At 52.5% G+C, this 13295-nt stretch overlaps 1 protein-coding gene across 4 annotated transcripts in view, besides 2 other annotated features; it reads right to left on the reverse strand.

Moving 5' to 3' along the window:
- Window positions 6323-6619: a silencer, noted in NCBI's record as "fragment chr19:10243570-10243866 (GRCh37/hg19 assembly coordinates)". NCBI's record gives its function as "represses an EF-1alpha promoter that drives an FKBP-Casp9 reporter gene in an ReSE screen in K562 erythroleukemia cells {active_cell/tissue: K562}" and the evidence as "EXISTENCE:reporter gene assay evidence [ECO:0000049][PMID:32094911]".
- DNMT1 (DNA methyltransferase 1) overlaps window positions 6775-13295 on the reverse strand; it is a 61608-nt gene continuing 55087 nt past the window's right edge. For 3 of the 4 annotated variants that reach the window (NM_001318731.2, NM_001379.4, NM_001130823.3), the window contains 8 exons: window positions 13105-13246; window positions 11868-12034; window positions 11261-11438; window positions 10514-10709; window positions 9550-9716; window positions 9165-9281; window positions 7646-7736; window positions 6775-7130 (listed from right to left, as the gene is read on the reverse strand). In NM_001318731.2, the coding sequence (NP_001305660.1) occupies window positions 7096-7130; window positions 7646-7736; window positions 9165-9281; window positions 9550-9716; window positions 10514-10709; window positions 11261-11438; window positions 11868-12034; window positions 13105-13246 (1093 nt within the window). In that variant the 3' untranslated portion in view covers window positions 6775-7095. Of the gene's footprint in view, window positions 7131-7645; window positions 7737-9164; window positions 9282-9549; window positions 9717-10504; window positions 10710-11260; window positions 11439-11867; window positions 12035-13104; window positions 13247-13295 lie in introns of all 4 variants that reach the window. The other variant, NM_001318730.2, reaches the window with a different exon arrangement.
- Window positions 8870-10069: an enhancer, noted in NCBI's record as "CDK7 strongly-dependent group 2 enhancer chr19:10246117-10247316 (GRCh37/hg19 assembly coordinates)". NCBI's record gives its function as "activates an origin of replication core promoter dependent on BRD2, BRD4, P300/CBP, MED14 and CDK7 cofactors, with strong dependence on CDK7, by STARR-seq in HCT116 cells {active_cell/tissue: HCT116}" and the evidence as "EXISTENCE:reporter gene assay evidence [ECO:0000049][PMID:35650434]".

Raw genomic sequence — 13295 nt, forward strand, 5'->3', positions numbered from 1 at the left:
ACTTCCACATCTGCTTTATACTTACAAGAATTGAAATCACTGGAGACCAGCCTGGGCAACAGAGTGAGACGCCATCTTTACAAAAAATAATCATATATTAAAAGGAAAAAAAAAGAAGCCAGGCACGGTGGCTTACACCTGTAATCCCAGCACTTTGGAAGGATGAGGAGGGACGATCATTGGAGCCCAGGAGTTTGAGACCAGCCTGGGCAACATAGCAAGAACTCATCTTTACTAAAAATAAAAATAAAAATTAGTTAGGCGTGATGGTACATACTTGTAGTCCCAGCTACTCCAGAGACTGAGGTTGGGGGATCTCTGGAGCGAAGGAGTTCGAGGCTGCAGTGAGCTATGATCGCATCACTGCAGTCCAGTCTGGGTGAAAGAACAAGACCCTGTCTCTAAAAAGAAAAGACAAGGTTTCTAATTCTTACACCAAAATACATCCTCAAGTTGTTCTTGGTGAAGGATCGTATACCTGAAAATGTGACCACTGAAAAAGTGGGATTAAAAACAAGGAAATTCAGGCCAGGCGCGGTGGTTCACACCTGTAATCCTAGCACTTTGGGAGGCTGAGGCAAGCGGATCACCCGAGGTCAGGAGTTCAAGACCAGCCTGGCCAACATGGTGAAACCCCATCTCTACTAAAAATACAAACATTAGCTGGGTGTGATGGCCCATGCCTGTAATCTCAGCTACTCAGGAGGCTGAGGCAAGAGAATCCCTTGAACCCAAAGATGGAGGTTGCAGTGAGCAGAGATCGCGCCACTGCACTGCAGCTTGGGTGACAGAGTGAGACTCCATCTCCAAAAAAAAAAAAAAAAAGGAATTCAACAAGTTGGTTAGATTCAAAAAACACAGTTTACAAAATCACAGCCAATACAAATGGAGCATCTCTCCATAGGCAAAGGACCATGGTTTAGAAATCAAGAAAACATCCCATTTATATTAGTAATGAAGGGACTAAATACTTAGGAATCAAGTTATGAAGTCTGCAAGATCTGGATGAAAAGCTGTGGACACAAAGGAATTCCTGAACAAACAGGACAAACCCTGTTCTTAGAAAGGAAGGCTTGTCATTAACATGTCAATTCTTCCAGAAGTCTGCAAAGTTAATGAAATCCCTATAAAACACCTGCTTGACTTTTAGCGGCTGTGCCAGTTCTAAAGTTTCAATCCAGTCATTCAACTCCTAGAAAAGTAGCCTAGACGTGGATACACATGTGTATACAAATCTATGTCCAGCCATCCCTCGGTATCCCCAGGGGATTGGTTCTAGGACCCCATGTGGTACCAAAATCAGAATGTGCTCAAATCCCTAATATAAAATGTCATAGGCCGGGCATGGTGGCTCACACCTGTAGTTCCAGCACTTTGGGAGGCTGAGGCGGGTGGATCATTTGAGGTCAGGAGTTCAAGACCAGCTTGACCAACATGGTGAAACCCCGTCTCTACTAAAAATACAAAAAAATTAGCCGGGCGTGGCGGCACATGCCTGTAATCTCAGTTACTTGGGAGGCTGAGGCAGGAGAATCACTTGAACCCGGGAAGCAGAGGTTGCAGTGAGCCAAGATTGTGCTACTGCACTCCAGCCTGGGCGACAGAGTGAGACTCTGTCTCAAATATAAAATAAAATAAAATAAAATAAAATGGCATAGTATTTGCATATACGCTACACATATTCTCCTGTGTACACTACTTTTTGACAGAGTCTTGCTTTGTCACCCAGGCTAGTGCAATCTCGGCTTAATGCAACCTCCACCTGCTGGGCTCAAGTGATCCTCCCATCTCAGCCTCTGGAGTAGCTGGGACTACAGGTGTGTGCCACCATGCTCAGCAAATTTTTGTTATTTTTTGTAGAGAAGGTGTTTCGCCATGTTGGCCAGGCTGGTCTTGAACTCCTGGCCTCAAGTGTTCCTCCTACCTTGGCCTCCCAAAGTGCTGGGATTACAGGCATGACCCACTGCGCCCGGCCTCTCCTGTGTACTTTATGTCGTCTCTAGATTATTTGTAATACCTGACATAACGTCTACACGTTGCTTTATTCTCATGGATTCCATGTAGTACTTGGTAAGTGGCAAATACAAGTTTTGCTTTTTGGAACTTTGTGGAATTTTTCTGAATATTTTAAATCTGTGGTTGGTTGAATGCCAGAGGTGGAACCCTTGGATACAAAGGCCTGACCTGCATCACAATTCAATCTACTGCTCTTGAGACTGTAGTTGTTTCCAAACAATATAAAGAAAAAAAGTTCAAATAAAGGCTTTCTAAGAGATTTATTGTATAACATAGTGAGTATAGTTAATATATTCTTGTCCAGGCGCAGTGGTTCATGCCTATAATCCCAGCATTTGGGGATGCCAAGGCAGGTAGATCGCTTGAGCCCAGGATTCTGAGACCAGCCTGGGCAACAAAGCGAGATCCTGTCTATAAAAAAATATAAAAATCAGCTACCAGGCATGGTAGCTCATGTCTGTAATCCCAGCACTTTGGGAGGCCGAGGCAGGCAGATCGCTTGAGCCCAGGAGTCTGAGACCAGCCTGGCCAACATGGCGAAACCCCATCTCTACTAAAAACATAGAAATTAGCCAGGCCTGGTGGCAGGCCTGTAATCCCAGCTACTCGGGAGACTGAGGCATGAGAATAGCTTGAACCCAGGAGGCAGAGGTTGCAGTGAGCCAAGATCGCACCACCGTACTCCAGCCTGGTGACAGAGTGAGATTCCGTCTCAAAAATAAATAAAAATAAAAATAATGATTAGCTGGGTATGGCGGCACATGCCTGTGGTCCCAGCTACTACAGAAGCTGAGGTGGGAGGATCACGTGAGGCCAGGAGTTTGAGACCACCCTGAGCAACACAGTGAGACCCCATCTCCACAAAAAAAATGTAAAACTTAGCTGGGCATGGTGGCATGCGCCTGTAGTTCCAGCTACTCAGGAGGCTGAGGCAGGAGGATCACTTAAGCCCAGGAGATCAAGGCTGCAGTAGAACATCGCTGCACTCCAGCCTGGGCAACAGAGCAAGATCCTGCCTCTAAAATATATATATATTTTTTTTAAAAAGGACAAAACTGATACACATATTAATGACATGGATGAATCCCAAAGGCATTTATGCTGAAAGATCTGAAACACAAGAGCCCATGCTGGCCTGAACAGGCAGGTGTCATCTATGGAGACAAAACTGGATGGGAGGCTGCCCAGGGACTGGGAAGGGGGAGATCAAGTGGGAAGAGGCACAAGGTGACCTGAGGTGACAGAGACATTCTCTATCTTGATAAGGATATAGGCTACAGTGCTATGTTCACTTCTCGAAATTTAAGCTGAACATTTAGGACTCGCATATTTCATATTCTACCCCAATTTTCAAAAATAGAGGAACAAGAGAGATTCCTAGGTAAGACAACCTTCGAGGTGCAAGACAGTTTATTTTTTTTTCGAGACAGTCTCGCTTTGTTGCCCAGGCTGGAGTGTGGTGGTGTGATCGTGGCTCACTGCAGCCGCCGCCTCCCAGGTTCAAGCAATTCTGCCTCAATCTCCCAAGTAGCTGGGATTACAGGCATGTACCACACCTGGCTGATTTTTGTATTTATACTAGAGATGGGGTTTCACCCTGTTGGCCAGGGTGGTCTTAAACTCCTGACCTCAGGTGATCCACCTGCCTGGGCCTCCCAAAGTGTTGGAATTACAGGCGTGAGCCACCGTGCCCGGCCCAAAGCAGTTTATTTTTGAGACAGGGTCTCGCTGTGTTACCCAGGCTGGAGTGCAGTGGCACAATCTCGGTTGCAGTGAGCCGAGATTGCTACTGCAACCTCCACCTCCTGGGCTCAAGCGATTCTCCCACTTCATGCTCCTGAGTAGCTGGGACTACAGGCACGTGCCACCATGTCCCACTAAGTTTTGTAAAGGCAATCTTAATAGACACTATCACCAGGCGTGGTGGCTCACGCCTGTAATCCCAGCACTTTTGGAGGCCAAGGTGGGTGGATCACCTGTTGTCAGGAGTTTGAGACCAGCCTGGCCAACATGGTGAAACCCCATCTCTACTAAAATTAGCTGGGCGTGGTGGTAGGCGCCTGTAATCTCAGCTACTCGGGAGGCTGAGGCAGGAGAATCGCTTGAACCCAGGAGGCGGAGGTTGCAGTGAGCCAAGATCATGCCATTGCACTCCAGCCTGGGCAACAAGACCACAACTCCATCTCATTTAAAAAAAAAAAAAAATTGACACTATTGGCTGGGTATGGTGGCAGATACCTGTAATCTAGCACTTTAGGAAGCCAAGCGGGAGGATCGCTTGAGGCCAGGAGTTTGAGACCAGCCTAGGCAATATAGTGAGACTGCATCTCTACGTAAGTAAAAATTAGGCCTGGTGTGGTGGCTCATGCCTGTAATCCCAACACTTTGGGAGGCTGAGGTGGGCTGATCACTTGGGGTCAGGAGCTCGAGAACAGCCTGGGCAACATGGTGAAAGCCCGTCTCTACCAAAAATACAAAAATTCGCCAGGCACACGCCTGTAATCCCAGCTACTTGGGAGGCTGGGGCAGGAGGATCCCTTGAACCCGGGAGGTAGAGGCTGCAGTGAGCCGAGATTGCGCCATTGCACTCCAGCCTGGGCAACAAGAGTGAAACTCCATCTCAAAAAACAAAACAAGAATTAGCTACATATGATGGTACAGTCCTGTAGTCCCAGTTACACGGAGGCAGGGGATCACTTGAACCCAGGAGGTGGAGGTTGCCATGAGCCGAGATCAGGCCACTGCACTCCAGCCTGGGTGACAGACTGAGACCCTGTCTCAAAAAAATAGAAAATAAAAAAAGATAATAGGTACATGGGTGATTGTTTTCTCACAAGGTCACACTATGCATTAGTACAAAGATTCAGTTGTCTTGATCAAGGTGCCTTGGAATCCAGAAAAAGAAAACTCATTATACTCATTATATACTTTAAAATGAATTTTTTAGCTTAAAATAGCAGCAGAAAGTATATTTAAAAAAAAATCTCGGATGGGGGAACTTTACCATATGTCAAGCTGAGCTGTTGTACTTTGCTGTGTGCATTTGCTATCAGTCTTATTCAAAAAATAAGCTGAGATCCCCATTTTTAGTCCTTACAAAAGTGATTCATGTGTTAAAATGGGAATGTCAGAAATGTGGAAGAAGATACATGTTTAAGATCTCTTGCTGGGGGGAGGAAAGGCGTTTCTAAATAGGCTACAAAGGCCGGGCACGGTGACTCATGCTTGTAATGCCAGCACTTTGGGAGGATCACTTGAGGTCAGGAGTTCAAGACCATCCTGGCCAACATGGCAAAACCCTGTCTCTACTAAATTAACAAAAATTGGCCAGATGTACTGGCAGGCGCCTGTAATCCCAGCTACTCAATCCCTGCTACTTGGGAGGCTGAGGCAGGAGAATTGCTTAAACCCGGGAGGCGGAGGTTGTGGTGAGCAGAGATCACACCACTGCACTCCAGCCTGGGCGACAGAGTGAGAATCCGTCTCAAAAATAAACAGGCTACAAAAAACTAAGAGTGACAAATATAAATTGACTTCCTAAAAATGGGAGGTCTCTGTATGGCACAGACATGATAAGCCAGGATGACTGAGCAGGGGCAGTCATCCCAAATGCCCAGGGAGCTCCCAGCAAAGACAGTCATGTGGCCATCACAGAGAAACGGTACATCCAGTGGCCAAAGGACACACAGAAGTGTTATGTCACTATTAAAAAATGCTGGCCAGGCATGGTGGCTCACACCTATAATCCCAGCACTTTGGGAGGCCGAGGCAGGCGGATAACCTGAGGTCGGGAGTTTGAGACCACCCTGACCAACATGGAGAAACCCCGTCTCTACTAAAAATACAAAATTAGTTGGGTGTGATGGCGCATGCCTGTAATCCCAGCTACTTGGGAGGCTGAGGCAGGAAAATCACTTGAACCTGGGAGGCGGAGGTTGCAGTGAGCAGAGATCGTGCCACCGCACTCCAGCCTGGGCAACAAGAACGAAACTGTCTCAAAAAAAAAAAAAAAAAAGCTAATGGGAGGCTGGGTGCAGTGGATCACACCTGTAACCCAGCACTTTGGGAGGTCCAGGTGGGCGGATCATGTCAGGATTTCAAGACCAGCCTGGCCAACATGGTGAAACATCGTCTCTACTAAAAATACAAAAATTAGCTGGGCGTGGTGATGGGCGCCTACAATCCCAGCTACTCGGGAGGCTGAGGCAGAATTTCTTGAACCCAGGAGGCAGAGGCTGCATTGAACGGAGACTGCCCCACTGCACTACAGCCTGAGCAACAGAGCAAGACTGTCTCAAAAAAAAAAAAAAATTCTTTGGAAAGAAAAAAAACCCAACTAAAGAGGTTTTGCTTGGGGATGGGGTGGCCGGGGCTCCAAGGGCAGCTCAGTGGTGACTTCTCTCTCCTTATTCCACCAGTTGCAGCACAGAGCTCTGCCTCATGGTCACAGGATGGCTGCTCCACTGCCAGGCATCACAACCCACTTCAGACCAAAGAAGGCCTACCAGCCACGGGGAAGGCCAGCCAAGACTTCCTTTAAAAGGCTTTCCTGGAAGCTACACTAGCAAGTTCCATTTGCATGTCATGGGGATCAACTCACGTGACTCAGTTCTGAACAAACACAGACAGACACACGGAGTGTCTAGCTTCAAACGTGCTAGCTTCAAACTCCACGTGGGTCGCCTTCAGCATGGAAGAGCTTGTTCCTGTCTGACCTCAGCCAGAAGTCCCGTGCAAATCACGAATACCCACCCAGGGTGGTTTATAGGAGAGATTTATTTGAAGAAATATTACAACATATAAAAACTACATAAAGTCTTAATTTCCACTCATACAGTGGTAGATTTGATATAATGCATAATAAAAAACTTTTAAAATCCAGAATGCACAAAGTACTGCACAATTTGATCACTAAATCATTAGTTGATAAGCGAACCTCACACAACAGCTTCATGTCAGCCAAGGCCACAAACACCATGTACCACACATGTGAACGGACAGATTGACATGTTAAAAACACAACATCAGTGCATGTTGGGGATTCCTGGTGCCAGAAACAGGGGTGACGGGAGGGCAGAACTAGTCCTTAGCAGCTTCCTCCTCCTTTATTTTAGCTGAAGGGAAATAAAAGGAAAAGTCACTCTGGGGAACACGCCCGGTGTCACGCCACTTGACAGGCGAGTAACAGACATGGACCATCAGGAAACATTAACGTACTGATGTTAACAGCTGACCCAATAAGTGGCAGAGTGCTAAGGGAACGTTCACGGAGACTGAACACTCCTCAAACGGTCCCCAGAGGGTTCTAGACCCAGAGGCTCAAGTGAGCAGCTGAGGCAGGTGCCTGCTGAGCCAAATTCACCGAGCAGGAGTGAGGGAAACGGCCCCAGGGCCAGCCCAGCAGCCAACCTGACCAAAGGCCTGCTGTGTGCAGCACGCCTGCTCTAAGCACTTGACACGTGCAACTCACTCAATCCTCACAGCAGCCCCTTGAGAAAGATGGGGCCACGAACGTGGGTAGGTGACCCGCCTGAGTCCCAGAGCCCAAAACGGTGGCCAGCAACTGCCCCCACATGTACCCCCAGAGGGCAGTCAGGCCCCAGAGGAAGCCTGGCCCACCCCACCATACCTGAGGCACTCTCTCGGGCTTTGGCCAACATACAAAGCTTGATCTCCAAGCCAATGGCTTTGGCCAGGGGCGGTGGCACGGCATTGCCCACCTGCAGGAGGGGAGAAGGGCAATGCCTGATGTGGACACCCAGGCCCAAGGCCCGGGGGCAGGTGTACTGCCAGCCCCTGCTCAGATGGAGGACAACCTGGGCATTGCACCCCTTGGGGAAGGGTTCTGGTCCTGCTCACATGGGCCCAAAACCCTTCCAGCACAAGATCCTTGGACCCTCCAACTGGCCCATCATCCCGCCCCACAGCCACAAGTCACTGGGCCTTTGAAGAGCTTCAGAAAGACTTGAGACAAAGACACGTGGGGCTGGGAGCAGTGGCTCACGCCTGTAATCCCAGCACTTTGGGAGGCCAAGGCAGGTGGATTAGTTGAGGCCAGGAGTTCGAGAGCAGCCTCGCCAACATGGTGAAACCCCGTCTCTACTAAAAGTACAAAAACTAATTAGCTGGGCATGGTGGCACATGCCTGTAATCCCAGCACCTCAGGAGGCTGAGGCAGGAGAATCACTTGAACCCTGGAGGTGGAGGTTGCAGTGGGCAGAGATCATGTCACTGCACTCCAGCCTAGGGGACAGAGTGAGACCCTGTCTCAGAAAAAAAAAAAAAAAAGACAAATGGGCCACCTAGACACGTTTCGCTCCCAGTTAAGAGTGGCTGCTTCCCTGGCCGGCGCAGTGGCTCATGCCTGTAATCCCAGCACTTTGGGAGGCCGAGGCAGGCGGATCACCTGAGGTCAAGAGTTCGGGACCAGCCTGGCCAACATGGTGAAACCCCATCTCTACTAAAAATACAAAAATTAGCCGGGTGTGGTAGCACATGACTGTAATCCCAGCTACTCAAGAGGCTGAGGCAGGAGAATCACTTAAAACCAGGGGGGTGGAAGTTGCGGTGAGCTGAGATCACGCCACTTCACTCCAGCCTGGGCGAAAGAACAAAGCTCCATCTCAAAAAAAAAAAAAAAAAAGAGAGAGTGGCTGCTTCCCGAGAACCAGATTCGGGGGGAGGGGTGAAATGTGGTTTTCACAAGAACCGTGGACACTGGTTTTTAAGCAATGCGCGTGCCCTATGATGAAAATACACTTAACTGAGACTAACTCATAGACTAACTTGTTAAGCCAACCCGACACCTGAGAAGCAGGTAGGAATTAAGGTGCTAGTTCATTTGAACCTACAGCGAGTGAGCTGTCGCCACCATGGGTTTTAGCCTGCTCCTTTAGCGCGACGGACTGTCCTTCTGGCTCAATCTCTGCCTCAAAAACAAACAGTAAGGAACCAGCATAGGGACGCAGCCTGACTCGGATGTCTCAGCACTGTCCCTCCTGTGGGCCGTCTTCCCACTGAGAGTGATGGGGCTACCCGGCAGCCAGCAGGCGTCCTCCCGGAAGTGACTGCGCTGGCCCCAGCCCCACCTGGTGACAGGCACAGAAGCCTCCTTCCTGTCCAGACCCAGCGGGCGCCGCCCCACTGACCTGCCGGTGCTTGTCCAGGATGTTGCCGAAGAGCCGGTAGGTGTCAGGGAAGCCCTGGGAGCGGGCACACTCCCGCACGCTCACCACACGGTGCTGCTCTGGGTGGAGCACGCGGCCCTGGGGGAAAGAGGCGCGGTGGGCGAGGGCAGTAGCACCCAGGCCGGGTCACCGTCGGGGACAGGGAGGGAAATGGCACTGTGACAGCATACGGCCATGGCCTTGGCCTATGAGCTTGTCCCGTGGACGTGGAGGGGCAGGAGGCAGAGGCCAGGTGCCTGGGGTCCTGGGGTGCTGTCCCCCACTTGGCTAAACCCACACTTCCACCTAGTTAGGCCGCCAAGTACAGGGCCTGACCCAGGCCCTCGGATGCCCCCTCCCCACCTACCTGCTTGCCCATGGGCTCGGGGTTGGTGACGGTTGTGCTGAAGAAGCCGTCCCACTCGAGCCTTCCATAGAGGCCAGCCCAGTGGTTGTGCCGGTTCCCGGTGTGGGGCAGGCACCAGGGGATGAGGGTGTTGAACTGCCTGGCTGCGGGGTCGCAGGCTTTGCCGGCTGGAAGACAGGACAGTGATGAGGCTGCAGTTGTGGGATGGGGTATAGGCTTGGGACAGTGGCTCTTAGAGCTTTGGGAGGCAGAGATGGCACCTCCTGTGCAAGGGGCCCCCTGGGGTGGAGCAGCCAACAATCCTCGTTCTCTGGGCACTGTTTTTATTATTAGTATTATATGTCTCGCTCTGTTGCCCAGGCTGGAGTGCAATGGCATGATCTTGGCTCACTGCAACCTCTGCCTATGGGGTTCAAGCGATTCTCCTGCCTCAGCCTCCCAAATAGCTGGGATTATAGGCGTGCGACACCACGCCCGGCTAATTTTTGTAGTTTTAATAGAGATGGGGTTTCACCATGTTGGGCAGGCTGATCTCGAGCTCCTGATCTCAAGTGATCTGCCTGCCTTGGCCTCCCAAAGTGCTGGGATTACAGAGGTGAGCCATCGTGCCTGACCTGCTTTTATTATTTATTTATTGTTTTTTTTTTTTCTTTTTAGAGACAGGGTCTCACTCTGTCTCCCAGGCTGGAGTGCAATGGCACAATCACAGCTCACTGTAGCCTCCTCAACCTCCCAGGCTCAAGTGATCCTCCCGCCTTGGTTTCCCAAAGTGCTGGGATTATAGGTGTGGGCCATGAACCCAGCCTGCTTTTACTACTCAACATGGTCAGCAGCTACCTTCTCTGGGACACCCAGGCTTGGTGTGTCTGTGCCCTGCCCTGGCCTCCAGGTTCACAGGCCAAAGGCCCAGGGCTCTGCCTTCCTTCCCCTCAGCCCACCGGGAACCACAACTTACAGGACCCACCTTCCACGCAGGAGCAGACCCCACGGAGGGCCCCAGAGCTGCTGCGGCCGTTCTTCCTGTCATGGTGGGTATACCGCAGCTTCCTGGCCATGGTGCCGTCTGAGAGCCGCACCTCGATGTTGGGCAGATCGCGCCAGTCTGACCCTGGGGCCAAGGGGATGTGCCGCATGCGGGCAGCCACCAATGCACTCATGTCCTGAAAGAGTGTGGGGGGCCCAGCTGTCACCTCATGTGAGCAGCATCCGAGCATCCATGGTGGGCTGGGAGCTGGGAACACCATGGTGACCAGGAAGCCCCCTGGGGCTCACGCCCATCGGGAAAGAGACAGTCAGGGATATCGCACTTGGCTCGAGGCCACGGCAGGGACCTGAGGCAGCGCAGGTGTAGGAGAGCGTGGGAATCTAAGCTGAGCCTTTAGGGTGGGGGAAGGGGAGTGGTGCCAGGGGATGGTGAAAGGGCTGGTCTTGGCATCCTGGGAAAACATGCGGGGAGAGGCAGCAAGGGGGAAGGCAGTGGTGGGTGGGCAGTGGCTTGACACCATTCCAGACCAAGTCCAGGACTGCGGGAGCTCTGACACTTCCCATGACCATGCAAGAGAGACCAGGGGTCACACAAAGGCTGAGGACTCGGGAGGAGGAGCCTGGGATCAGATTCCATGTCTCCCCTGAGTCTTGGGCAGGCTGACTGTTCCCACGAGGCTGCTGGGCTGGGCCTCGAGGAGGAGCCGCTCTGTCAGGGTGCCATTACCTTACAGATGTGGTCCCTGAGGATGGGCTGGTACTGTGCGCCCCGGAGCTGCCTCTGGAACCAGGACTGAGGCTCCCCGTTGTAGGAGATCTCCAGTGCCGAGGCTCCATTCCGCACCTCCGGCAGGTCGGACATCGTGTCTCGCACCGTGATGGTCCGGAAAGGACCCGAGCTCAACCTGCAACAGAGGAGGAGGTCAACACCTCTGGAGATGCACGCAGCAGCTGTCCCCTCATCACAGGTGCCACCCCCTGCCTGCTCAGATGGCCTTCTCCCGAGATCACAGCACTGCCCGAGGTCACATGGGTGGCAGTGTGCCTGGATGCCATCTGGAAGGGGGGATGGGGCTATGGCGTGGGCTTTGTGGATGACCACAGCCAAGCATGCGGCTGGCCGCTCTGCACATGCTATCTACTAGGGAAGCAGATGATGCAGGGTCAGAACTGGAGACCACAGGTGGCAGAGTGCCATGTGGCAGAGCACCGTGTGGCAGGGCAGATGCTGTACCATCCTCTCCTCCCCAAGCCTCACCAGGGAGTACTCACGGGCCCCATGAGCTACTGAGGCCTGCTCGGCAGTGTGTGGAGGAGCGACGGGGGCCACCTACCTGGTTATGTTGCTCACAAACTTCTTGTCATCCACCACCACGCTCAGCTGGCAGGCCCGGGGAGCAAACACGTGCAGTGGCTCCGGGAACAGAGGGAGCTTCTCTCCAGGGGCCGCGGCCAGGATGATGGCCCGCCTCCTAGTCTGGGCCACGCCGTACTGACCGGCCTGTGGGGGAGAAGGACGGACAACCCCACCGTCAGTGGGACACTCCCAACTGGACTGGCCAGACCCAGGCCCAGGGTCAGCAGCCTGAGTCGGGAGTGGCTGGCCAATGCGGAGTGCACTTGCAGAAATCCCCAGTTACCTCAGCAGGCGTGCTCCTGGTCAGAGGAGTTTGGAGCAGATAAAGAACAAAAGCAGCTGAGCCCAGGGGACAGCCACTGGGGAAGGTGGGAGCAAACCCTGCGGGGAAGTCCGGCCAGCTCTGAAAGCACTGCAAGGGCCCCAAGGTCTTAGCACTCGGGGAGAACACTGGAGACCAGGAGCCCTGTCGCTTCCCTGATGGCTGTGGTCACAAGGACAGAGAACGTGGCTGCAACAAGTCTTGTCTGGTGAGCCTGAGTCGCCCTGAGGCTGAGCTAGGGGACCGGGTAGCCAAGTGCTTGCCCACTTAGGCAGACATCCTGTGCTAGCATCTGGATAGCTGTTTCATTTTTAATTATGCCCTCAATTGCTGAGCTGATACAGAGAGGATGGGGGATGCTTTTCAGATAAGGCCTGGGCCCCACAGACTATGTCCATCCCTGTCCCTGCAGACACAGCCACCTGGAGTGCAACCCTCGGCCATCTGTGGGGGTTTGTGTGCGCAGTTACCCAGAGCAAAACTGTCTTTTAAACCAATCGAACAGCTGCCGCCTACACATGGCTCTGCGCACCTCACTTCCCCTCCCGCTCTGTGCAGACTCAGCCATTCCACAGTGCTCCATGGTGGGCTGCTCACCCTTCCCCATCGAGGGAAAGGAGCCAGGAGCTGCATGGCGAGAAGCCCATTGTAGCCAGCCCTCCCAGGCATGTTCGAGAACACAGCTCAAGAGACACTAGCGGTGGACTTGCTGGGGGCCGGCTGAGCACGCATCTCCCCTGACTCCGCCAGTGGGACAGAGCACCATGCCAGCCTCTGCTGCCTGGATGGCAGGCCTATGCCATTGAACCCTGCCTTCAGTAAGGGATGGCTGGCTGCTGGCCGGGTCACGTGCTGGCCACATCTGTCTGCCCGCCCCAGCCCCAGGGCCCACCTGCAGCACGCCGAAGGTGCACTGATAGCCCATGCGGACCAGGCAGCGGAGGGTGAGCTTCAGGACCATGGAGCGCTTGAAGGAGACAAAGTTCCTGACATTCTCCAGGAGGAAGAACCGGGGCCGGTAGTAGTCGCAGTAGCTGTAGGGGGCAGGAGAGACTGCAGGAGTCACCTCCACAGACAGAGGGA

This window comes from Homo sapiens, chromosome 19 (assembly GCF_000001405.40).
Source record: "Homo sapiens chromosome 19, GRCh38.p14 Primary Assembly".
Lineage (NCBI taxonomy): Eukaryota > Metazoa > Chordata > Mammalia > Primates > Hominidae > Homo > Homo sapiens.